The following is a 26,871-nucleotide window of genomic DNA, read 5'->3' as shown; positions in this document are numbered from 1 at the left end:
CTTCTTGTGGAATTGAACCCTTTATCATTATGTAATGCCCTTCTTTGTCATTTTTGATCTTTGTTGATTTAAAGTCTGTTTTGTCAGAAACTAGGATTGTGACCCCTGCTGTTTTCTGTTTTTCATTTGCTTGGTAAATTTCCCTCCATCCCTTCGTTTTGAGCTTATGTGTGTCTGCACTTAAGATGGGTCTCCTGAAGACAGCATACTGATGGGTCTTGACTCTATCCAGCTTGCCATTCTATGTCTTTTAATTGGGGCATATTTAGCCCATTTACATTTAAGGTTAATATTGTTACGTGTGAATTTAATCCTGTCATCATGATGGTAGCTGGTTATTTTGTAGACTTGTTTATATGGTTGCTTCATAGTGTCACTGGTCTGTATACTTCAGTGTGTTTTTACTAAAGTACTTCCTTTAGGAGCTCCTGTTGGCCATTTCTATGTCTTTTTTTGAGAAATGTCTGTTCTGGTATTTTGCCCATTTTTAAATTGGATTATTTGTTTTTTGCTATTGAGTTCCTTATATATTTTAGTTATTAATCCTAATCCCTTGTCAGATGGATAGTTTGCAGATATTTTCTCCCATTCTGTGGGTTGTCTCTGCACTTTGTTGATTGTTTCCTTTGCTGTACAGAAGCTTTTTGGCTTAATGTAATTATATTTGTGTATTCTTGCATTTGTTGCCTGTGCTTTTGAGTTCTTACTCCAAAACAATCTTTGCCCAGACCAATGTCCTATAGCATTTCCCCAGTATTTTCTTGTAGTAGTTTCATAGTTTCAGGTCTTACATTTAAGTCTTTTAATCCATTTTCAATTGATTTTTTTGTATATGGCAAGAGATAAAGGTCTAGTTTCATTCTTTTGCATATGGGTATTCGGTTTTCCTGACACCATTTATTAAAGAGACTGTTCTTTCCCCAGTGAATGTTCTTGGTGCCTTCGTGGAAAGTGAGTGGGCTATAAGTGGGTGGATTTATTTCTGGATTCTCTATGCTGTTCTGTTGGCCCATGTATCTGTTTTAATGCCAGTACCATGCTGTTTTGGTTACTGTAGCTTTGTAATATAATTTGAAATCAGGTAGTATGAGGCTTCCAGCTTTGTTCTTACTGCTCAGTATTGCTTTAGTTATTTGGCATCTTTTGCAGTTTTATGTGAATTTTAGGATTGCTTTTTCTATTTCTGTGAAGAATGTCATTGGTATTTTGTTAGGGATTGCATGGAATCTATAGATCGTTTTTGGGTAGTATAGACATTTTAGCAATATTAGTTCTTCCAATACATGTGCATATGCTATCTTTCCATTTTTTGTGTGTCCCCTTCAATTTTTTTCATCAGTGTTTTGTAGTTTTCCTTGTAGAGATCTTGCAATTATTTGGTTAAATTTATTCCCAGGTATTTTAAGTTTTTTGTAGCTATTGTAAAGGGGATTGCTTTTTTTAGTTTTTTTTTTAGATCATTCACTGTTAGCACATGTAAATGCTACTGATTTTTGTATGTTGATTTTGTATCCTGCAACTTTACTGAGGTGTTTTTTTTGTTGTTGTTGTTTTTGAGACAGAGTCTCGTTCTGTCACCCAGGCTGGAGTTCAGTGGCATGATCTCAGCTCACTGCAACCTTTGTCCCCCGGATTCAAGTGGTCCTTTCACCTCAGCCACCCAAGTAGCTGGGACTACAGGTGCCCACCACCACACCCAGCTAATTTTTGCATTTTTAGTAGAGATGAGGGTTTACCATGTTGCCCAGGTTGGTCTCAAACTCCTGAGCTCAAGCTATCTGCCCGTCTCAGCCTCCCAAAGTGCTGGGATTACAGGCATGAGCCACTGCACCCAGCCATCTTTACTAAATTTGTTTATCAGTTCTTTTATTTTTATTTTTTGAGATGGAGTCTTGCTCTGTCACCTAGGCTGGAGTGCAGTGGCGCAATCTTGGCTCACTGCAACCTCCGCCTCCTGGGTTCAAGCGATTCTCCTGCCTCAGCCTCCAAGTAACCGGGATTACAGATGCCCGCCATCACGCCCAGCTAATTTTTTGTATTTTTAGTAGAGATGGGGTTTCACCATATTGGCCAGACTGATCTCGAACTCCTGACCTCAGGTGATCTGCCCACCTTGGCCTTCCAAAGTGCTGGGATTACAGGCGTGAGCCACCGTGCCCGGCGAGGCCTGTAGTTTTAATTGTTGTATTTTTTTCTGGTTTTGGTATCAGGATAATGCTGGCCTCATAGAATGAGTTTTGTGGAAGTATTCCCTCCTCTTCAGTTTTTTGAGTTAAGGTAGAATTGTTGTTTTAATGTTTGGTAGAATTCAGCAGTGAATCCATCAGGTTCTGGGCATTTATTTGATGGGAGACTTCTTATTACTGCTTCAGTCTCATTACTTCTTGTCTGTTCAGGTTTTCTGTTTCTTCATGGTTCAAGCATGGTAGGTTATATGTGTCCAAGAATTTATCCATTTCTTCCCAGTTTCCAATTTGTTGGTGTATAGTTGTTCATAGTAGTCTCTACCTTTGTATTTCTGTGATATCAGTTGTAATGATTCCTTTCTCATGAGATATTTTTAATTTCTAATGTAAACATTTAGTACTTTAAATTTTCCTCTAAGCAGAGCTTTCTTTGCGTCCCCCAAGTTTTATGTTGCAATTTCACTTTTTTTTTTTTTTTAATTTTTATTTTTATTGATCATTCTTGGGTGTTTCTCACAGAGAGGGATTTGGCAGGGTCATAGGACAATAGTGGAGGGAAGGTCAGCAGATAAACAAGTGAACAAAGGTCTCTGGTTTTCCTAGGCAGAGGACCCTGCGGCCTTCCGCAGTGTTTGTGTCCCTGGGTACTTGAGATTAGGGAGTGGTGATGACTCTTAACGAGCATGCTGCCTTCAAGCATCTGTTTAACAAAGCACATCTTGCACTGCCCTTAATCCATTTAACCCTGAGTGGACACAGCACATGTTTCAGAGAGCACAGGGTTGGGGGGTAAGGTCACAGATCAACAGGATCCCAAGGCAGAAGAATTTTTCTTAGTACAGAACAAAATGAAAAGTCTCCCATGTCTACTTCTTTCCACACAGACATGGCAACCATCCGATTTCTCAATCTTTTCCCCACCTTTCCCCGCTTTCTATTCCACAAAACCACCATTGTCATCATGGCCCGTTCTCAATGAGCTGTTGGGCACACCTCCCAGATGGGGTGGTGGCCGGGCAGAGGGGCTCCTCACTTCCCAGTAGGGGCGGCCGGGCAGAGGCGCCCCTCACCTCCCGGACGGGGCGGCTGGCTGGGCGGAGGGCTGACCCCCCCACCTCCCTCCCGGATGAGGTGGCTGGCCGGGCAGAGGGGCTCCTCACTTCCCAGTAGGGGCAGCCGGGCAGAGGCGCCCCTCACCTCCCGGACGGGGCGGCTGGCCGGGCGGGGGGCTGACCCCCCACCTCCCTCCCGGACGGGGCGGCTGGCCGGGCGGGGGGCTGACCCCCCCACCTCCCTCCCGGACGGGGCGGCTGGCCGGGCAGGGGGCTGACCCCCCCACCTCCCTCCCGGACGGGGCGGCTGGCCGGGCAGAGGGGCTCCTCACTTCCCAGTAGGGGCGGCCGGGCAGAGGCGCCCCTCACCTCCCGGACGGGGCGGCTGGCCGGGCGGGGGGCTGACCCCCCACCTCCCTCCCGGATGGGGCAGCTGCCAGGCAGAGACGCTCCTCACTTCCCAGACGGGGTGGCTGCCGGGCGGAGGGGCTCCTCACTTCTCAGACGGGGCAGCTGCCGGGCGGAGGGTCTCCTCACTTCTCAGATGGGGCGGTTGCCAGGCGGAGGGTCTCCTCCCTTCCCAGATGGGGCGGCTGGGCAGAGACGCTCCTCACCTCCCAGACGGGGTCGCGACCGGGCAGAGGCGCTCCTCACATCCCAGACGGGGCGGCGGGGCAAAGGCACTCCCCACATCTCAGACGATGGGCGGCCGGGCAGAGACGCTCCTCACTTCCTAGATGGGATGGCGGCCGGGAAGAGGCGCTCCTCACTTCCTAGATGGGATGGCAGCCGGGCAGAGACGCTCCTCACTTTCCAGACTGGGCAGCCAGGCAGAGGGGCTCCTCACATCCCAGACGATGGGTGGCCAGGCAGAGACGCTCCTCACTTCCTAGACGGAGTGGCGGCCGGGCAGTGGCTGCACTCTGGGCACTTTGGGAGGCCAAGGCAGGCGGCTGGGAGGTGGAGGTTGTAGCGAGCCGAGATCACGCCACTGCACTCCAGCCTGGGCACCATTGAGCACTGAGTGAACCAGACACCGTCTGCAATCCTGGCACCTCCGGAGGCCGAGGCTGGCGGATCACTCGCGGTTAGGAGCTGGAGGCCAGCCCGGCCAACACAGCGAAACCCAGTCTCCACCAAAAAAATACGAAAACCAGTCAGGCGTGGCGGCACGCGCCTGCAGTCGCAGGCACTCGGCAGGCTGAGGCAGGAGAATCAGGCAGGGAGGTTGCAGTGAGCCGAGATGGCAGCAGTACAGTCCAGCTTCAGCTCGGCATCAGAGGGAGACCGTGGAAAGAGAGGGAGAGGGAGACCGTGGGGAGAGGGAGAGGAGGGAGAGGGAGAGGGAGAGGGACAATTTCACTTTTATTAATGGAAATATTTTCTGTTTTCCTGTGGGATCTCCTCTTTGACCCATGTTTATTTAAAAGTATGTTTAATTTTTATGTGTTAGAGGTATTCCAGTTATCTTTCTATTGCTGCTTTTTGTTCTTTTTGTTAAGACATCATTCTTCTGGTTTCCTTTTGTTCTTTGTCAGTGGTTTCCTTTTGCTCTTTCAGCCTAGTTGATTTAGTCTTTGTATGGTAAATACAATGTCAGAGCTTCCTTAGGGACAGTTTTTGTCAGTTTCTCTTTTTTTTTCCCCCGTAAATGGGCCATACTTCCCTTTTCGTTGCATGCCTCATGGTTTTTTTTGTTGGAAACTGGAAATTTTGAATATTATAATGTGGTTTACTCTGGAAGTCAAATTTTCCTTCCTCAGTTTGCTTTTGTTGCTTGTTATGAACTGCAGTCATCTATTATTTAGTGACTTTTCCCAACTACTTTTTACAAAGATTGTATTCCTTATTGTGCAGTTACTGAGTCTCCATTCCTTAGCCTCATTAGTAAGCTGAGACTTTCTGATAGAGATTTCCTGACAACTTTGTTTGTTTGGAAGGCAGGAGTACAGTGGCACAATCTTGGCTCACTGCAGCCTCCACCTCCCGGGTTCAAGCAAGTCTCGTGCCTCAGCCTCCCGAGTAGCTAGGATTACAGGCATGTGCTACCACGCGTGGCTAATTTTTGTATTTTTAGTAGAGACAGGGTTTTGCCATGTTGGCGAGGCTGGTCTTGAACTCCTGACCTCAAGTGATCCGCCTGCATCTGGAGTTTCTTAAAGACATGATTTAGCAGCCTTTTTCTTTGTTAATCACCCCTTGTTGTTGTGAGATTTTTATTGGACTCCAGAGTTCCATAAAAGTTGTTCTGACAGTTTTTGCCAGGTTGATGGTTGTTTCAGTGGAGGGACAGATCATTTTAGCTCCCTATTACTCCATTATCAGTGGTGTCACTCCTCCTTCCCTGCACCCTCTTCGTGTGTGTGTGCGTGCGTGTGTGTGTGTGCACACGTGCACGTGCATGTTCTTTTTTTTTGGTAAAAAACACATACCATTAAATTTATCATCTTTTTTCCATTATTTACCTTTAAGCTCCGTTAGACTTGACAAATTTACCATCTTAATCATTTTAAAGTGTATAGTTCAGTACTATTAAGTATATTCACATTGTTGTGCAACAGATCTCTATAACTTTTTCATCTTGCAACACTTAAACTGTATACCCCTAAACACTAATTCCTCCCTCTAGCCATTGGTCATCACCTTCTACTTTCTTTCTTTTCTTTTTTTTTTTTTTTTTTTTGAGGCAGAGTTTTTGCTCTTGTTGCCCAGGCTGGAGTGCAGTGGCACGATCTTGGCTCACTGCAACCTCCGCCTCCAAGGTTCAAGTGATTCTCCTGCGTCAGCCTCCTGAGTAGCTGGGATTACAGGTGCGCGCCACCACGCCCAGCTACTTTTTTGTATTTTTAATAGAGACAGAGTTTCGTTATGTTGGCCAGGCTGGTCTCGAACTCATGACCTCAGGTGATCCACCTGCCTCAGCCTCCCAGAGTGCAGGGATTACAGGCATGAGCCACTGCGCCCGACCTCTACTTTCTATTTCTATGATTTTGACACCTTTAGGTACTTTGTAAGAGTGGAATTGTATAGCATTTGTTCTGGCCTTTTTTTCTTAGCATAATATCTTCCATGTTCATCCATGTTGTAGTATGTGATAGCTTTCCTTTTTTTAAGGCTGCATAATAACTGCTGTGTGTACCTACCATACTTTCTTTTATTTTTCCTTTTTTTAAATTATACGTTTCTGGGATACATGTGCAGAACGTGCAGGTTTGTTACATAGGTATACATGTGCCATAGTGGTTTGCTGCACCCATCAACCCGTCATCTACATTAGGTATTTCTCCTAAAGCTATCCCTCCCCTAGCCCCCTTCCCCCTCACAGGCCCCAGTGTGTGATGTTTCCCTCCCTGTTTTCATGTGTTCTCATTGTTCAACTCTCACTTATGAATGAGAATATGCGGTGTTTGGTTTTCTGTCCTGTGTTAGTTTGCTGAGAATGATGGTTTCCAACTTCATCCATGTCCCTGCAAAGGACACGAACTCATCCTTTTTATGGCTGCAAAGTATTCCATGGTATATGTGTGCCACATTTTCTCTATCCAGTCTATCAGTGATGGGCATTTGGGTTGGTTCCAAGTCTTTGCTATTGTGTACAGTGCTGCAATAAACATACGTGTGCATGTGTCTTTCTAGTAGAATGATTTATAATCCTCTGGGTATATACCCAGTAATGGGATTGCTGGGTCAAATGGTATTTCTCGTTCTAGATCCCTGAGGAATCGCCACACTGTCTTCCACAGTGGTTGAACTAATTTACACTCCCACCAACAGTGTAAAAGCATTCCTATTTCTCCACATCCTCTCCAGCATCTGTTGTTTCCTGACTTTTTAATGATCACCATTCTAACTGGCTTGAGATGGTATCTCATTGTGGTTTCGATTTGCATTTCTCTAATGACCAGTGATGATGAGTATTTTTTCATATGTTTGTTGGCTGGATAAATGTCTTCTTTTGAGAAGTGTCTGTTCATATCCTTCACCCACTTTTTGATGGGATTGTTTGTTTTTTTCAGCCCAGGTGATCTTTTTGTTCCCTTTGTGTGCATTAAGTATGTACTGTTTATTTCTTCATTCACTTAGTAAACAGTTACTGAGAACTTGTGCTTCAGTGTGCTAGTAGGCTCCCTTAATTTGAAATAAATAATACATATTCCTGCCCTTATGGTAAATTGGAGGCAACAGATTTGCTAATCAGCTCTTAAATACCATATAACAGCTTCAGTAGAGGGATGCACAGGAAGCTATGGAGAGCCAAGTAGGAGGCATCTCAATCATGATTAGGAGAGGGAGGGAAGAGTTCTTGTGGAAAGTAAATCTAAAGCTGAATTTTGAAGGGTGAGTAAGTAAAGTAACTCATGAAGTTATTCACTAAATGGATGTTGGGTGAATGAATCAGAATTAGGTGAATCTAGGAGAAGGACATTTGCTGCAAGGATGCAAAGTAGAAGGGCATGAAATGTATGTGGTACATTCAGAGACTCTTGGAGTTGAGTATGGATTAAGTAAAAGGTACATTTGTAGGGGAAGGGCAGGAGCTGGAGTAGGTGTCATTCTATCTTCACCCTTTGGATGAAATCTCATTTTACCCTGTTTTCCCTTCTCCCTGCAGTCTATCCTTCACTGGAGTCTGATGATGATGACCCTGCTTTGAAATCTCGACCCAAGAAAAAGAAGAATTCAGATGATGCTCCATGGAGTCCTAAAGGTAATCTAGTATTTTGTCCCTTAAACTCTGTAGGGGTGGTCAGGAGGAAATAGACAAGGTAGGTGGGATATTTAATATCAGAAGACCTGATTCAGTCACTCATTTGTTTATTCAGCAAACATTTGTTGAGTGTCTGCTGTGTGTCAGGCACTGTGTTAGGTTCTGGAGCTAAAATGACTAATAAGACACAGAGTTTATGTAATTAGTCCAATAAAATCAGAGGTAATGGAGCATATTGCATTTGATATTATATGGTTTGAGGTGAAAGGAAGACCTTGAACAGATTTTAGCAAGCAGTCTGAGGCTTCTGAGAACGTTCTGATACCATCATCCCAGTACTCTGGTAGTTTTGTTGTCAAGGAGGGAAATTCTGCTGACTGTTGAGCTCTATAAGGCCCAAGATTATCACCTATACTGAGAGGCCATCTCTGAGGAGGGAAGAATGACCACTGAGTTGAACATGGAGTTTAGAGGATAATGGAAGAATTTTCTTCGTCTCCTTGGCTGGATAGTATTCACACTGAGGATGCATCCTTCAGTTAGTTTTTGCTGCTTAACAGTCTGCCCAAAACTTAGTGGCTTAAAATAACAGTTAATAATTTTTCATAATTCTGTAGGTTGGCTGAGCTGTTCTTCTAGTCTAGGCCAGATTCCCTGGGGCTGAATGGTCTCAAAAGTTCTCCTTCAGGTGTCTCAGACCTACTATCTAAGTCCTACTAAGACCTACTATCTAAGATGGCCAAGGCTTCTCTCTACATGGTCTTTAGTCTACCAAGCTTTTCCACAAGGTGGCAGAAAGGTTTCTAGCAGCAAGAGAGGACAAGCCCCAATGTGCAAGCACTTTTCAAGCCTTTGCTTAAGTCATATTTACTGTTGTCCCATTGACTAAAACAAGTTACGTGGCCAAGCCTTGATCCCATGGTTGGGAAATAGATTGCACCTTTTGAGAGGAGAACTGCAAAGTCACATCGCAAAGTATCATGCATACGAGGATACATGAGCACACTGAAGGCCATTACTGCAACAGTCTGCCATAGAGGTCATTGGGATTTCAGTACCTGTGGTTCCCCAGCAGATAAAGGGCTTGCTCTTCTCACCCTGCCTTATTTAGACTTTTTGGTGTTTGCTTGAGGTCGAGGGGGTGACATAGGGGTAGCAGGGCATTCCTCAGAAGTGTTATGTTAGTGAGTTAATCAGTAAATGTTTCTTTTTAAAAAAAAATTGGGGCCGGGCCTGGTGGCTCACACCTGTAATCCCAGCACTTTGGGAGGCCAAGGCGGGCAGAACACCTGAGGTCAGGACCAGCCTGACCGACATGGTGAAACGTCGTTTCTACTAAAAATAGAAAATCAGCCGGGAATGGTGGCGGGCGCCTATAATCCCAGCTAGTTGGGAGGCTGAGGTAGGAAAATTGCTTGAACCCAGGAGGCCAAGGTTGCAGTGAGCTGAGATTGCACCATTGCACTCCAGCCTGGGCAACAAGTGGGAAACTCCGTCTCGGGGAAAAAAAAAAAAATTTGGCTAGGTGCAGTGTGGCTCATGCCTTTAATCCCAACATTTTGGGAGGCTGAGGCGGGTGGATCACTTGAGGTCAGGAGTTTGAGACCAGCCTGGCCAACATGGTAAAACCCCATCTCTACTAAAAATACAAAAATCAGCTGCATGTGGTGGCATGTGCGTTTAGTCCCAGCTACTCGAGAGGCTGAGGCACGAGAATTGCTTGAACCTCGGAAAGCGGAGGTTGCACTGAGCCGAGACCATGCCACTGCACTCCAGCCTGGGCAACAGAGCGAGACTCCATCTCAAAAAAAAAAAGAAAACTTAGGCCTATTTTTAAATTTTATTTTCTTCTATCATTTCCAGGTTTATTTTTCCTGTCAAAGTAAATTTTTCTGGTTAGCACAGTAGAAAATTTAGAAAATATTGAAAATAAAGGGAATTATGAAGAAGGAACCACCCACGAGTCCGCCACCCAGAAGCAACCAATGTTAACATTTTGACATGTTTCTTTATAGTCTTTTCCCTATACATTTTTTAATTTTTATTGTTTAAATCACATGTGTGTACAATTTTTTAAATTTTTTTTTAAATTTTTTTTAAATGGAGTCTAGCTCTGTCCCAGGCTAGAGTGCAGTGGCGGGATCTTGGCTCACTGCAATCTCCGCCTCCCGGGTTCAAGCTATTCTCTTGCCTCAGCCTCCCAAGTAGCTGGGATTACAGGCAGGTGCCACCATGCCTGACTAATTTTTTGTATTTTTAGTAGAGATGGGGTTTCACCATGTTGGCCAGGCTGGTCTTGAACTCCTGACCTCATGATCTGCCCGCTTCAGCCTCCCAAAGTGCTGGAATTACAGGTATGAGCCACCACGCCTGGCCACATGTATACAATTATGCACTGTACTTTAAAATTTTGTTTGAGCTTTTGATCAAAGTAGTGGGTGTAGCATATCAAAAAGTATAGAGAAATTAGGCCAGGTGCGGTGGCTCACGCCTGTAATCCCAGCACTTTGGGAGGCCGAGGCGGGTGGATCACAAGGTCAGGAGATCGAGACCATCCTGGCTAACACGGTGAAACCCCGTCTCTACTAAAGATACAAAAACTTAGCCGGGCGTGGTGGCAGGCGCCTGTAGTCCCAGCTACTCGGGAGGCTGAGGCAGGAGAATGGCATGAACCTGAGAGGTGGAGCTTGCAGTGAGCCGAGATCGCGCCACTACACTCCAGCCTGGGTGACAGAGCGAGACTCTGTCTCTCACACACACACAAAAAAGTATAGAAAAATTTAGGAGGAAAAGCAATGTTCTTCTGCCCCTACTTTCCCCACCTGCAATCCCGTTCCCAAGAGACAACCTCATAGTTTTCGTTTCCTGGTAGATGCCTCCAAAACTCAAGAGAAGTATGCCACCCTTTCTTGGTTTATGAAGTCTATTTCTCCTTTAATCAACTTACATCATTCCCTTTTTTTTTTTTTTTTTTTTTTTTGAGGCAGAAACTCGCTCTGTGGCCCAGGCTGGAGTGCAGTGGTGCAATCTTGGCTCACTGCAACCTCCGCCTCCTGGATTCAAACGATTCTCATACCTCAGCCTCCAAAGTAGCTGGGACTATAGGCGCGCATCACTGCACCCAGCTAATTTTTTTGTATTTTTAGTAGAGATGGGGTTTTGCCATGTTAGCTAGGCTGGTCTCGAACTCCTGACCTCAAGTGATCCATCTGCCTCGGCCTCCCAGAGTGCTGTGATTACAGGCCGTCAATCTCTCTTGATTACCTACTTTGTAAGATACAGTTGTTGGTGACCCTACATCCATAGGGTCCTTTTGTAACCTTCTGTGAACCATTTTTTCCCTTGTGGGAAGTAAATCTAAAGCTGAATTTTGAAGGGTGAGTTAGTAAAGTAACTCATGAAGTTATTCACCACACTAAATGGATGTTGTGTGAATGAATCAGAATTAGGTGAATCTAGAAGGACATTTGCCGCAAGGATGCAAAGTAGAAGGGCATGAAATTGTATGTGGTACATTCAGAGACTCTTGGAGTTGAGTATGGATTAAGTAAAAGGTACATTTATAGGGGAGGGGTACATTCCCTTTTGTAACCTTCTGTGAACCATAATTTTTTGTTTATGCTGTCAAGTTTATTAACATATACATTGTTGTTACTACTCTACATTGACTAGAAATTAACTGTAAATATCGAAAACCAATAGAGACATCTGGTCTTTTAAGTTAATATTATATCATAAGCATGTTCCTATGCCATTGTTTATAAATAATATTTTTAATGGCTACAAGATATCAGTTCCATGGATATACCTAATATATATGTAATTTCTAACATATAGGCTATTTTCAAGTTTTTACAATTAGTACATTTGGAGTCAATATCTTTATATGTAAATGTTTATATCTCTGATTATTTACTCAGGATGGATCACCATGAAACCTTAGAGGGGCCAAAGTATGTGAGGTTATACAATGAAAAGTTTCCTTCCCAGCCCTGTTAGTAGCCTTCTACTTACCCACCTGGAGTCAACTAGTGTTATCAGCTTTTTTTTTTTTTTTTTTTTTTTTTTGAGAGGGAGTCTTGCTCTGTCGCCCAGGCTGGAGTGCAGTGGCGCGATCTCTGCTCACTGCAAGCTCCGCCTCCTGGGTTCACGCCATTCTCCTGCCTCAGCCTCCCGAGTAGCTGGGACTACAGGCACCCGCCACCATGCTAATTTTTTGTACTTTTAGTAGAGATGGGGTTTCACCGTGTTAGCCAGGATGGTCTCGATCTCCTGACCTCGTGATCCGCCCGCCTCGGCCTCCCAAAGTGCTGGGATTACAGGCATGAGCCACTACGCCCGGCCATCAGTTTTTTCATTTATCTTCTCAGAGACAGTTTGCACATATACAAGCAAATGCATGTATATGTTTTCCTACCTCCCCCTCCTTTTTTTTTTAACTCAGTTGGAAACGTATTTTATACGCTGTTATGTGCTTTGCTTTTCTCTCTTAAGAATACATCTGGGCCAGGCACGGTGGCTCACGCCTGTAATCCCAACACTTTGGGAGGCCAGGGTGAGCGGATCACGAGGTCAGGAGATCCAGACCATCCTGGCCAACATGATGAAACCCCGTCTCTACTAAAAATACAAAAATTAGCTGGGCATGGTGGCGCACGCCTGTAGTCCCATCTACTCAGGAGGCTGAGGCAGGAGAATCGCTTGAACCCGGGAGGTGGCGGTTGCAGTGAGCCGAGATTTTGCCACTGCACTCCAGCCTGGGCGACAGAGCAAGACTTCATCTCAAAAAAAAAAAAAAAATAGTTCTTGATACTTATTGCAGAAGTGTTTTCCAGAAAAGTTGTACCAATTTACACTTCCATCCGCAGTGCTTGTTTATGAAATGTATGCAGGCATTGAACACACCAGTTAGGAGTAGTATTTGATTATGAGTAATGTCTCAAGCATCCTTAGTGAGTGCTTGTTCTCTCAGAGTCACAAGATGGCTACTTCACCTCCAGCATTGGGGTCTGGGCTGCAGTCAGGAAGAAGGAGAAAAGCAAAAGGAAAAAGGGACAGGCATGCTGAGTGCTGAGCATTCCCTCTCCCCAAGGAGTTTTAAGTTCCACGTTTTTTACACATCTATTTGGCTGAAATTGTGTCAGATGGCCAAGACTATCAGCCAGAGATGCTAGGAGATACAGTTTTTATCTAGGCATATTGCTGTCCCACAAAATCAGTGTTTTTGTTAGTAAGCAGGAAAGAGAATGACATTTGGTTGAGAATGAGTAGTCTCTACCATGAGGGTTTTTTTGTTTGTTTGTTTGTTTGTTTTTTATTTATTTTGAAACAGTCTCGGTCTGTCGCCCAGGCTGGAGTGCAATGGCATGATCTTGGCTCACTGCAACCTCTGCCTCCCGGGTTCAAGCAATTCTCCTGCCTCAGCCTCCCAAGTAGCTGGGATTACAGGCACCTGCCACCACACTCAGCTAATTTTTTTTGTTGTTTGTTTTTTGAGACAGAGTCGTTCTGTCACCAGACTGGAGTGCAGTGGCGAGATCCCGGCCCACTGCAACCTCCGCCTCCTGGGTTAAAGCAATTCTGCTTCAGCCTCCTGAGTAGCTGGGACTACAGGCACGCACCACCGCACCCAGCTAATTTTTTTTTTTTTTTTGTATTTTTAGTAGAGACGGCATTTCACCATGTTGGCCAAGATGGTCTCGATCCCTTGTCCTTGTGATCCGCCCATGTCAGCCTCCCAAAGTGCTGGGATTACAGGCATGAGCCACCGCGCCTGGCCAGTTTTTTGTATTTTTAGTAGAGACAGGGTTTCGCCATGTTGGCCAGGTTGGTCTCGAACTCCTGACCTCAGGTGATCCACCTCGGCCTCCCAAAATGTTGGGATTACAGGTGTGAGCCACCACATCCGGCTTCTACCATGAATTTTTGATCCTTGGTAATTCATAAGCAAACAACAGTATCTCATTGATTTAATTTACATTTTTTTGATTAAGCATAGCCTCTATGTTTTATTAGCATCAGAGTTTCTTCCATTGTAAATTTTGTTTACATCCTTTGCCCACTTATCCATGTGGTTCTTCAAGGTTTTCGAGTTGCCCATTTTATATAGTAAGGGAATAGTCATCCTTTGTTTCATACACACACACACACACACACACACACACACACGCACATATTTTATACTTATAATGTGCTTGTACTTCTTCCTCATTCTACAGGAAAATTTGAATATTTCAGTATCAAGTGTTGATCATTTGTTTGCATATTCAGAGAGTAGATAATTAACACCCTTGTATTTTTTAAGCATAATTTTTAAATATCTAATGTGTTGATCTACAAAGAATTGCTTAATATATGGTACTGAGCAGAAGATATAAATTGGTATTCCCCCCAAAAAGATGACTGTTGGTGCTAGAATCACATTCCCACTAAGCTGAAAATGCTTTCTTTGCCATGTGTACTGACTCATACGTATCATGGGTTGTTTGAGGCACATCCATTTTGTACCATCAAAGTTCTGTCTGCTCTTGTGCTGGTATTTCACTTATTCACTACCTATTTATGACTTAGAAAAACCACAGACTTTTTTATTTTGAGGCAGAGTCTCACTCTGTTGCCCAGGCTGGAGTGTAGTAGCATGATCTCTGCTCACTACAACCTCCGCCTCCCAGGTTCAAGCGATTCTGCTGCCTCAGCCTCCCAAGAAGCTGGGATTAAAAGCACCCGCCACCACCATGCCTGGCTAATTTTTGTATTTTTAGTAGAGATGGGATTTTACCATGTTGGCTAGGCTGGTCTCAAACTCCTGACCTCAAGTGATTAGCCCGCCTCAGCCTCCCAAAGTGCTGAGAATTACAGGTGTGAGCTACCACGCCCAGCCAAAAAACTGCAAACTTTTAAAAAGTGGCTTTTAGTTAACTAAAAAGATAGTTCTTTAAAATGAAGAAGAACACCAAGTTTAACCCAATAGGATGAAACTGTAGAGCACAGATGCATCAACTGGTGTTCATGGACCTTTGAATCTCCTATTAATATTCTATTGAAATTTTATGTAAATGCATGCATCTATGTATGTATATTTCTTTAGTAATTTTTATCACATTTTCAAAGTGAGTTCTTAACTCAAAAGATGCATTCTACTAAGGCATTCTACTAAGGGGATTCCCATTAAGATCAGGAATAAGACTAATGTGCCCACTAACACTGCTATTATTTAGTATTGTTCTAGAAGTTCATGCCAGTGTAATTAGAAGTAAAGCAGAAATTAAAAAAAAAAAAAAAAAAAAGAAAAGAAGAGACCAAATCATGATGTGAGCCAGTAGGGTGAGAATCCTGTTCACTTTTGGCCATCATTGTATCTGTAGCACTTTGCCTAGTGCCTGGCCTGTAGGAGATGTTTAACAAATATTTGATGAGTGAAAGATAAGATATAATTGTATAATCGATATAGAAAACACAGGTATGGGGCTGAGCATGGTGGTTAATGCCTGTAATCCTAGCACTTTGGAAAGGTAAGATGGGAGGATTGTTTGAGCCTAGGAGTTCAAGACCAGCCTGGGCCACATAGTAAGACCCTGTCTCTACAAAAAATAGAAATAAAAATAGAGATATGATATAATTATGTAATATCAGAAAATGAAAGAGAATCAACTAAAAACTGCTAATACTGATAAGAGAATTCAGTAAATTGGGTAAATCATTGGATATATACCAGCTATCCAAAAATCAAGAAGTACTATATTAGTAATAACCATAATGTACTGAGAAAAAGAAATGCTATTGACAATAGCAACAAACATATAAAATATGCAAGAATAATTGTAAGAAGATAGTGTGGAACCGACATGAAGAAATAGAGATTTCCCATATGCCTGGTTATAAAGACTGAGTGTTGTAAAGAGTCATTTCCTTCCAAATTAATGTATACATTTAACACTAGCCTAAATCAAAATCCTAATGGAATTTTGTGGGGAATTCATTCTAAAAGTAATTTAAAAAGTAAACAGGTATAATTAGCTTAAAGAATATTGGGATAGAGAAAGTAAATGAAATATACTATAGTGCTACAGTAATCATAAGCACCAGAACAGTCGGTAAATACTTTTCCTTTTAAAAAATTTTTGTTATGAAAGTTTTCAAACATAAGATAAAATTCAAGAGGTTATTACCATGAACACCTATATATATATATATATATATATCTGTCACCCAGATTTAATGAACATTTTGCTGTATTTGCTTTATTCTTTTTTTCAAGGCATTTTAAGCAAAATCTTACGTGTTACGACATCTCTAGTTTTTTGCTGATTTTTTCTTTTCTTTTTTTTTTTTTTTTTTTTTTTTTGAGACAGAGTCTTGCTCTGTCACCCAGGCTGGAGTGCAGTGGCATGATCTTGGCTCACTGCAAGCTCCGCCTCCTGGGTTCACGTCATTCTCCTGCCTCAGCCTCCCCAGTAGCTGGGACTACAGGCACCTGCCACCACACCCAGCTAATTTTTTGTATTTTTTAGTAGAGATGGGGTTTCACCATGTTAGCCAGGATTGTCTCGATCTCCTGACCTTGTGATCCGCCTACCTTGGCCTCCCAAAGTGCTGGGATTACAGGCGTGAGCCACCACACCTGTCCGTTTTTTGCTGATTTTCTAATTGCTCTATCCATTATTGAAAATGTGGTATTGAAGTCTCCAGCTATTATTATTGAATTTATCTATTTTCTCCCATCAGTTTGGTCAGTTTTCACTTCATCTATTTTGAGCCTCTGTTGTAAGGTACACATATGTTTGTAATTGTTATACCTTGTTGATGGATTGACCTTTTTATCATTATAAAATGCTCTTCTTTGTCTTTAGTAATGATTTTTGTCTCAAAGTCTGATGTTAGTATAGCCATTGTAGTTTTCATTTGAGTACCACTTTTATTGTTATCTCTTTTTTCATCCATTTATTTTCGACCTGTGTCTTCAAATCTAAACTGTGTGTCTTGTATAGATAGCATATAGTAGGGTCATTTTTAATTCATTCTGCCAACATCTGCCTATCAGTTGGAGGGTTCTAATAGCTGCCAAAGTTCGACTCAATATCCATTTTGCTATTTGTTTTCTATGTGTCTTATTTTTTGTTCCTCAATTCCTCCATTAGTTACTGCCTTCTTTTATGTTTAATAGCTATTTTCTAGGACCCCCCCCGCTTTTTTTTTTTTTTGAGACAGAGTGTCACTCTGTCACCCAGGCTGAAATGCAGCAACGCGATCTTGGCTCACTGCAATCTCTGCCTCCTGGGTTCAAGCAATTCTTTTCCTGCCTCAGCCTCCTGAGTAGCTGGGATTACAGGTGCCTGCCATCACGCCTAGCTAATTTTTATATTTTTAGTAGAGTTGGGGTTTCACCGTGTTGGCCAGGCTGGTCTCGAACTCCTGTCCTCAGGTGATCCACCCATCTTGGCCTCCCAAAGTGCTGGAATTACAGGCATGAGCCACCGTGCCCAGCCCTAGGATCCCATTTTAATTCCTTTTTTTTTTATCTCTCTATATGTGAGGGGTTTTTTTTTGTTGTTGTTTTGTTTTTTTTTTTTTGAGATGGAGTCTTACTCTGTTGCCTAGGCTGGAGTGCAGTGGCACAATCGCGACTCACTGCAACCTCCACCTCCCGGGTTCAAGCAATACTCCCGCCTCAGCCTCCTAAGTAGCTGGGAATACAGGCACACACCACCAAGCCTGGGTGATTTTTGTGTGTTTAGTGGAGACGGGGTTTCACCATGTTGGCCAAACTGGTCTCAAACTCCTGACCTCAGGTGATCGGCCGCCTCAGCCTCCCAAAGTGCTGAGATTACAGGCGCGAGCCACCGCACCTGGCCAAGTTATTTTCTTAGTGGTTGTCCTGGGGATTAACAACTTAATTTATACCATTCTAATTCACATTATTATCACTTAATTTCTTTCTTTCTTTTTTTTTTTTTTTTGAGGCAGAGTCTCGCTGTGTCGCCCAGATTGGAGTGCAGTGGCACCATCTCGGCTCGGCTCACTGCAAGCTCTGCCTCCCGGGTTCACGCCATTCTCCTGTCTCAGCCTCCCGAGTAGTTGGGACTACAGGCGCCTGCCACCACACCCGGCTAATTTTCTGTATTTTTAGTAGAGACGAGGTTTCACCGTGTTAGCCAGGATGGTGTCCATCTCCTGACCTCATGATCCGCCCGCCTCAGCCTCCCAAAGTGCTGGGATTACAGGCGTGAGCCACCGCGCCCAGCCTATTATCACTTAATTTCAGTACTACACAGAAACTTTGCTGCTATATAGCTCCATTACCCTTCTCTTTTATGCTATTACTGTCACAAATTACATCTTTATACATTGTGTTCATGAACACAGGGTTATAGTAATTGCTTTATGTAATTGTCTGTTAATCCAGTTAGAAAAAGTTACAAAAATATGTTGATAATGTCTTTTAAATATACCTATCTAGTTACCTTTACCAGTGCTCTTTATTTCTTCATGTAGACTCAATTGTCTAGTGTCCTTTCATTTCAGCCTGAAGGTTTCCCTTTAACATGCCTTTTTTTTTTTTTTGAGACAGAGTCTCGCACTGTCGCCTGGGCTGGAGTGCAATGGCATGATTTCAGCTCATTATAACCTCTGCCTCCCGGGTTCAAGCAATTCTCCTGCCTCAGCCTACCAAGTAGCTGGGATTACAGGTGCCTGCCACCACGCCTGGCTAATTTTTTGTATTTTTAGTAGAGACGGGTTTCACTATGTTGGCCAGGCTGGTCTCGAACTCTTGACCTCGTAATCTGCCCGCTTCGGCCTCCCAAAGTGCTGGGATTACAGGCATGAGCCACCACACCTGGCCCTTTAGCATTTCTTATAGGTAAGGTCTACTAGTGTCAAACTATTTGTTTTTATTTATCTAGGAATATCTTGATTTCTTCATTTTTGAAGGATAGTTTTGCTGGATCTGGAATTCCTGATTGATAGTTTTTCTTTTAGCACTTAGAATATGTCTTCGCACTGTCTTCTAACCTCCATGGGTTCTGATGATAAAGAAATCACTTTATGTTGTGAGTCACTTCTGCCTTGCTGCTTTCAAAATTCTGTTGTCGTTGGCCGGGCACAGTGGCTCAAGCCTATAATCCCAGCACTTTGGGAGGCCGAGGCGGGCGGATCACGAGGTCAGGAGATCAAGACCATCCTGGCTAACACGATGAAACCCTGTCTCTACTAAAAATAGAAAAAAAATTAGCCGGGCGTGGTGGCGGGCACCTGTAGTCCCAGCTACTCAGGAGGCTGAGGCAGGAGAATGGCGTTAACCCTGGCGGCAGAGCTTGCAATGAGCCGAGATTGCACCACTGCACTCCAGCCTGGGTAATGGAGCAAGACTCCGTCTAAAAAAAAAAAAATTTCTGTTGTCTTTGGTTTGAGTTATGATGTGTAGCCTTTTAAATTTGTTCAGCTTGGAGTTCGTTGAGCTCTTGAATGTATAAATTGTTTTTCATCAAATTTGGAAAGTTTTTAGTTGTTATTTCTTCGAATAGGTGTCCTTCAGATCCCTTTGGCTCTGTTCACTTTTCTTCATTCTCTTTTTATGTGTGCTCATCAGACTGGATAATCTCAATTGACTTATCTTCAAAGTCAGTAATTCTTCCTTCTACCTGCTCAAATGTGCTATTGAAACCCTCTAGGGAAGTTTGCATTTCAGTTAAAGTTTGCATTTCAGTTATTTTACTTTTCAACTTCAAAATAACTGTTTGGTTTCTTTTTATAATTTCTGTCTCTATTGGTATTCTCTGTTTGGTGAGACATCATACTCATACTTTCCTGTAGTTCCTTAGACATGGTCTCCTTTAGCCTTTGAAAGCATTTAAAATAGCTGATTTAAAGTCCTTGTCTAGTAACTCCAACTATGTCTAGGAAGTCAGGGACAGTTTCCACTGATTGATTTTTTTTCTTGTGAATGGCTATACTTTATTTCTTTGTATGTCTTGTAATTTTTTGTTGAAAACTGTACATTTTAAATGCCGTGGCAACTCTGAAAATCAGATTTTCTCCACTCTGCTCCTCAGAGAACACTCTTTGTTGTAGTTGTGTTTTGTTTAGTGGCTTTTCTGAACTAATTCTGTAAAGTCTGTAAACTTTTTTGTGTGTGCACACTGATGTCTCTACTCATTTAGCTTAGTAGATGTCTCATGATTGGACACAGATTTCCTGAAATGCCTGGAACCAGTGAGTGCTCCCAGTGCTTGCTGAGGGGCTCTCTATGTGCATGTTGGAGCATGCCTTCACTCAGCCAGGCAGTTTACAACTCTGCGGTAGCCTTCACTTCTATTTGTGTAGCACCTCAAAGTCAGACAGAGGTGCATGCTTAGGGCCTTCTCAAGTCTTACAGCGCCAACACAGGCATGTGGTCTTATAATTTGCAGAAATGCGTGAGAACTTGTCAAATTCTTTATGGATATCTCATTCTTTAGCTTTTTTTTAACCATTTGGGTTAATCTATTGTTTGTCACAACTGTTATCCATCACCTTAAACAGCTATGACATTAAGCACATGCCTTTAAAATTCTTTTTTAAACACCCATCAGGGAGGGAGAGGCTTTTAGTACTAGGCTTTGAAAGAAAGCTCTAGCTCCTTTCTGCTCACTACATTGCTGGGAACTTGGACTGCTGTTTTTCAAGGTGTTCACTAAGCTGGGGTAAGGTAGATGTGTCTAGGGCAAGTTAAAATGCACAAAGCTCATTGTTCTTACTGAGATTCAGCTGTTTTTCTTGAATCAAGTGCTTTCCAGGTTGCTGCAAGCCTTTTGTTAATTTCCAGAGTTCTGAAAAAATTTATCCTGACAATTTTTGCTAGTTTTTTTGTTGTTTTTATTGGGGAGTGAATTCTTGGAGGTCCTTTGCCATGTTTACTGATGTCGCCCATCATAACATCTCATCCTTAATACTTAAATATGCATTGAATGATATTTTCTTCCATAACCACGGTGCCATTATATGACACCTAAGCAAAGTAACATTTATTTCTTTTTTTTTTTTTTTTTTTTTTTTGAGACGGAGTCTTGCTCTGTCACCCAGGCTGGAGTGCAGTGGTGCGATCTCCGCTCACTGCAAGCTCCGCCTTCCGGGTTCACACCATTCTCCTGCCTCAGCCTCCTGAGTAGCTGGGACTACAGGCGCCTGTCACCACGCCCGGCTAATTTTTTGTATTTTTAGTAGAGACGGGGTTTCACTGTGTTAGCCAGGATGGTCTTGATCTCCTGACCTCCTGATCCACCCACCTTGGCCTCCCAAAGTGCTGGGATTACAGGCATGAGCCACAGCGCCCGGCCAACATTTATTTCTTAATATCATCTAGTACCATGTACTTATTCAAATTTCCCCCAGTTGCACCAAAAATATCTTTTGTAATTGGCTTACTTAAACCAGAATCCATTCAAGGATTACACAATGCATTTGGTTATTATAAGCTCTTAGTCTTGTTCATTATTTAAAATTTGTTAATATGACAATTTTATTTTATTTTTTGAGACAGAGTCTCACTCTGTCGCCCAGGCTGAAGTGCAGTAGCGCGATCTCAGCTCACTGCAATCTCTGCCCTCGGGGTTCAAGTGATTCTCCTGCCTAAGCTTCCCAAGTAGCTGGGATTACAGGCACGTGCCACCACACCTGGCTAATTTTTTTGTATTTTTAGTAGAGACAGGGTTTCACCATGTTGGCCAGCCTGGTCTCAAACTCCTGACCTCAGGTGATCCGCTCACCTCGGCCTCCCAAAGTGTATTATGACAATTTTATTTTTTATTTTATTTTATTTTATTTTTATTTTATTTATTTTTTGAGACGGAGTTTCGCTCTTGTTGTCCAGGCGGGAGTGCAATGGCACGATCTTGGCTCACCACAGCCTCTGCCTCCTGGGTTCAAGCGATTCTCCTCCCTCAGCCTCCTGAGTAGCTGGGATTACAGGCATGCACCTCCATGCCCGGCTAATTTTTTGTAATTTTAGTAGAGACAGGGTTTCTCCATGTTGGTCAGACTGGTCTCGAACTCCTGACCTCAGGTGATCCACCCACCTCGGCCTCTCAAAGTGCTGAGATTACAGGCGTGAGCCACCGTGCCCGGCCGACAATTTTTAAACATATGTAAAAGTAGAAGGGATAGCACCTGAATACCCATAGTCTTAATACTCAGATTCTATAGTTGTAACATTTTGCTATAGTTGCTTGATTCCTCTATCTGTATCTATCTGGCTATCTATAGTTTTTGCTGAGCCACTTCAAAGTCATCATAACATATTTTACCCGATGGTTCACGCCTGTAATCCCAGCACTTTGGGACACCGAGGCAGGTGGATCATTTGAGGTCAGGAGTTTAAGACCAGCCTGGCCAACATGGTGAAACCCCATCTCTACTAAAAATACAAAAATTAGCCGGGCGGGGTGGTGGGTGCCTGTTATCCCAGCTACTTGGGAGGCTGAGAAAGAAGAATCACTTGAACCCAGGAGGTGGAGGTTGCAGTGAGTAGAGGTCACGCCACTGCGTGACTGTGAGACTCCATCTCAAAAAAATTAAATAAGGACATCCGCCATTCCCCGGTGTAACCACACTACTTTTTTTTATACTTACCAAAGTTAGTAATAATTCCCTAAGATCTTCAGATACCCAGTTCATAACCAAATTTCCCCAACTGTTTACACAAAATATCTTTTATAGGTTTTTTTCCCTCCCAAAACCCAGGTCTAATCAAGGAGGGTTCTTTTTTCCCCAGCTTAAAACAACCACCATTTTCTTATGTTCATGTATTCTGTGGGTCAGGAATTTGGAAATGGCACAATGGCGACAACTTGTCTCTACTGCATGAAGTCTGGGGTCTCAGCTGGAAAAACTTTGAAGGCTGGGGGTGACTTGTTGGCCAAGAGTTTGAGTCATCTGAAGTCTTTCACTTACATGTTTGATGCCTGGCCTGGGAGGACACAAAAGACTGAAAGTGCCAACATGTGGCCTCTCCATGTGACTAGCTTCCTCACTGCTCAGCAGCCTCAAGGCAATCAAACTTTTTACATGGCGGTTCAGATTGCTAAAAGCATGAGTGTTCCAACAAGCAGTGTGGAAACTGAAATTGCCTTTACTGACCTTGCCTCAAAAGTCATATAGTGTCATTTATACCATATTCTATAGCTTGCAAATAAGCCTGCTTAGATTCAAGAGTGGGGCACAGATCTCACCTATCAGTAGGAAAGGTGTGATGGGATTTGGGGTCATGTTTTAAAACCACCACACATACAAAACTATAGAGAACAATATAAAAGAGATCCAAGTATCCATGACTGAAAATTATGCGTCAACTTTTGGTAAATTTGCTTCAGATCATGTTTTAAACAAATGTTACCTTTAAAGAAAGAATTTCAGCCTTCCGAATTGCTTGTTCTAGAATCTGCATACTGCTTATCCAGAAATTCTCCTTTATAATAGCAATAGCTAACCAAGGAGTTTAAATCTAGGTCAGCAGTACCACCACATCTTTTTTCTGTGACATTAGTTTTTTTCTTTAAAAATATAATAAGGCTGGGCATGGTGGCTCATGCCTATGGTTTTGGAGGCCGAGGTGGGTGGATCACTTGAGGTTAGGAGTTCAAGACCATCCTGGCCAACATGGTGAAACCCCGTCTCTACTAAAAATACAAAAATTAGCCGGGCATGGTGTTGCATGCCTGTGATCCCAGCTACTCAGGAGGCTGAGGCAGGAGAATAGCTTGAACCCGGGAGGTGGAGGTTGCAGTGAGCCGAGATGACCCCACTGCACTCTAGCCTTGGGCGACAAAGCAAGACTCCATCTCAAAAAATAAATAAAAATAGAATAGTTCATTGAGCTCCTATATATCCACCAGTGAGAATGAACAGTTATTAATATATTGCCGTATTGGCTTCATTTATCACTATCTTGTTTTTTAAATTTTTTTCTTTGCTTGAAAGCAAACCCCAGTTATTATGCTGTTTCCCCCAAGTATTTCAGTATGTATTTCTAAAAAGTGGATATTTTCTCACCAAACCTTACAACCTGTTATTATACATAACAAAACTAACAATAATTTGATAATTCTTTATATAATTCCAAGTCCATAATCAAATTTCCTAAATTGTCAAACCATGAAAAGGTGTTTTTATATTAGATTTGTTTAAATCAGGGTCTAAACAGGGTCCATGTGGCATTTGAATGCCTTTTAACCCTCTCAATCTAGAGCACTCTCCCCTTTTTTGTTCTGTGCTATTGATTTGTTGTTGACACTGGTGTAATTGCCCTGTAGCATGTCCTACCTTCTAGATTTGTCTGTTTGCTTACTTGTGACATTGTCTTTTTAAAGAGACTAAGCCAGTTTATCTTGTAGAATGTCTGCTTGTTTTCTTCTGGTGTCATTTGTTTTTCTGTACCTGTTTCCTAAACACTGAAAGTAATATGAATGGCTTGCTATATTTTAGCTCTTCAACAAAACTACTTCTCAGGTGATGTGAATTTCCTATTGCTTCTCATCAAGAGGCGTGTGAAGTTGTGTTGTGCTTTCTCACTATTAGTGACAGTAAAGTTCATACTTAAAGTGGTAATCTCTTGATCTCATCATTATAAGTTTTTTCTTCTTGAGGTGAATGGGTAATATTTTGGTGCTGTGTGAATATCCAATTCCCTAGAATCAATTGTTTCATTAGGACTTGCCAGCTTGTGGTTTTCTAATTCTGTCATTCCTTCTACATTTAGTAGCTGGCTTTCTTCTGTAAAGAAGAGCTGTCTCTCATCATTTAGGGCTGTTTGGTTATCCTGAAATACACTTCCTTTTGAAATGGTGGGATGAGTATTTTTTTATTTCAGGTTGGTAAGGCATTATAAAAGAGTCATGCAAGAGGGTGGTCTTCTTCAGGAACTCATAGCCTGGCTGGTAGACAGAATAACACATCAGCATTAGAGAATGAGACAAGGTGGTATGTGCTATGTATCAAGTAATTTATACAGATCATAAGTTCAAAGGAAAAAGAGATCAGTGGAACCAAAGAGGTTTTGTGTAGGAGATTGATTTCAGCTTACCTTAAAGAATGGGTAGGTTTTGAATAGGCAGACAAAAAGGAAGATAGTACTCTAGGTGGTGTGGATTTTGAGGATGAAAGCATAGGGAGAGAGGATGAGCTGTACACACTCTGGAGATGTAATAAGGAAGCCATCCGTCTGGAGAAGCTGAGAATATGGATGTGGAAATAAGGTTGGAGAGGTAAGTGGGCCAGAAGCAGAATATGGGACAAACTTAAATGCCAGTTCAGGGAGATTAACTTTTTATTTTTATTATTATTTTATTATTATTATTATTTTTTGAGACAGAGTTTCACTGTGTCGCCGAGGCTGGTGTGCAGTGATGCAATCTCTGCTCACTGCAACCTCTGCCTCCCAGGTTCAAGCAATTCTCATGCCTCAGCCTCCTGAGCAGCTGGGACTACAGGCGTGCACCACCATGGCCGGATAATTTTTTTTTTTTTTTTGAGATGGAGTCTTGCTGTGTCGCCCAGGCTGGAGTGCAATGGCGCAATCTCAGCTTACTGCAAGCTCCGCCTCCCAGGTTCATGCCATTCTCCTGCCTCAGCCTTCTGAATAGCTGGGACTACAGGCACCCGCCACCATGCCTGGCCAATTTTTTGTATTTTTAATAGAGACGGGGTTTCACCATGTTAGCCAGGATGGTCTTGATCTCCTGACCTCGTGATCCACCCGCCTCGGCCTCCCAAAGTGCTGGGATTACAGGTGTGAGCCACCGTGCCGGCCAATTTTTATTATTATTTTATTACTATTATTATTATTATTTTTTGAGACAGAGTTTCACTGTGTCGCTGAGGCTGGAGTGCAGTGATGCAATCTCTGCTCACTGCAACCTCTGCCTCTCAGGCTCAAGCAATTCTCATGCCTCAGCCTCCTGAGCAGCTGGGACTGCAGGCGTGCACCACCATGCCGGGATAATTTTTGTATTTTTAGTAGAGACGAAGTTTTCGCCATGTTGGCGAGGCTGGTCTCGAACTCCTGGCCACAAGTGATCCATCTGCCTCAGCCTCCCAAAGTGCTGGAATTACAGGTGTGAGCCACTGCACCTGGCCTGGCTTATTGTTCTATTTTTAGAGACAGGGTCTCACTCTGTTGCCCAGGCTGGAGTGCAGTGGTACAATCGTAGCTCACTGTAACCTCAAACTCCTGGGCTCAAGCAATCCTCCCACTTCAGCCTCCCAAGTAGCTAGGACTACAGGCACATGCCACCACACCTGGCTAACTTTTTAATTTTTTGTAGTGACAGGGTCCCACCTCACCCTCCCAGAGCAATGGGATTACAGGCATGAACCATCATGCCCAGCCAAAGGAGGTTCACATTTTTTTTCTTTTTCCCTCTGGGAGGTTTACCTTTATCCTTTAATCAGTGTGTGCTTTGAGCATTGGTGAATTAGGTTCTTATGTGATGGCAAGCAAAATCTGGCTTCATAAAAAGCTAGAAGCAGGAAGACCAATGAGAGTACCTTTGGAGAGCTTGGAGGTAGGGAATATGGCTAGCCTTCGGATAAATGTCTTAGTGACACCTTCTCATCCTGTTTCCCTTGCAGCCCGCGTGACCCCAACTCTGCCGAAGCAGGACCGTCCTGTGCGTGAGGGGACCCGGGTAGCCTCTATTGAGACAGGTTTGGCTGCAGCAGCTGCAAAGCTGGCCCAGCAGGTAGGTGCTGACACCCCAGGTCACCCTGCAACTAATAGCAGTTTGACTTAGAGCCTCAACACTTAGACCTGCAGGCTGATAGGATCCCACCTTTGTCTCAATGGGGATTGAGTAACCTTTGATCTTTATCCTTGGCAGTATCCCAGCCCCCTCTTAAATCCCTCTTATCCCAACTCAATGATAAGCTACTTCCACAGGTTACACAGTTGACATGA

At 43.1% G+C, this 26,871-nt stretch overlaps 1 protein-coding gene across 12 annotated transcripts in view; it reads left to right on the top strand.

Annotated features, from left to right (window-relative positions):
• The window catches only part of PHF8 (PHD finger protein 8), a 112,257-nt gene that overhangs the window by 78,147 nt on the left and 7,239 nt on the right, over window positions 1-26,871 (top strand). For all 12 annotated transcript variants that reach the window (XM_005261996.2, XM_011530778.2, XM_047441934.1 and 9 more), the window contains 2 exons: window positions 7,851-7,946; window positions 26,547-26,656. In XM_005261996.2, the coding sequence (XP_005262053.1) occupies window positions 7,851-7,946; window positions 26,547-26,656 (206 nt within the window). The remainder of the gene's footprint in view (window positions 1-7,850; window positions 7,947-26,546; window positions 26,657-26,871) is intronic.

The sequence above is a fragment of the Homo sapiens genome, chromosome X (assembly GCF_000001405.40).
Source record: "Homo sapiens chromosome X, GRCh38.p14 Primary Assembly".
NCBI classification, from domain to species: Eukaryota; Metazoa; Chordata; class Mammalia; order Primates; family Hominidae; genus Homo; species Homo sapiens.
The sequence above is the reverse complement of the archived record's forward strand: the minus strand, read 5'-3'. Positions and strand labels throughout refer to the sequence as shown.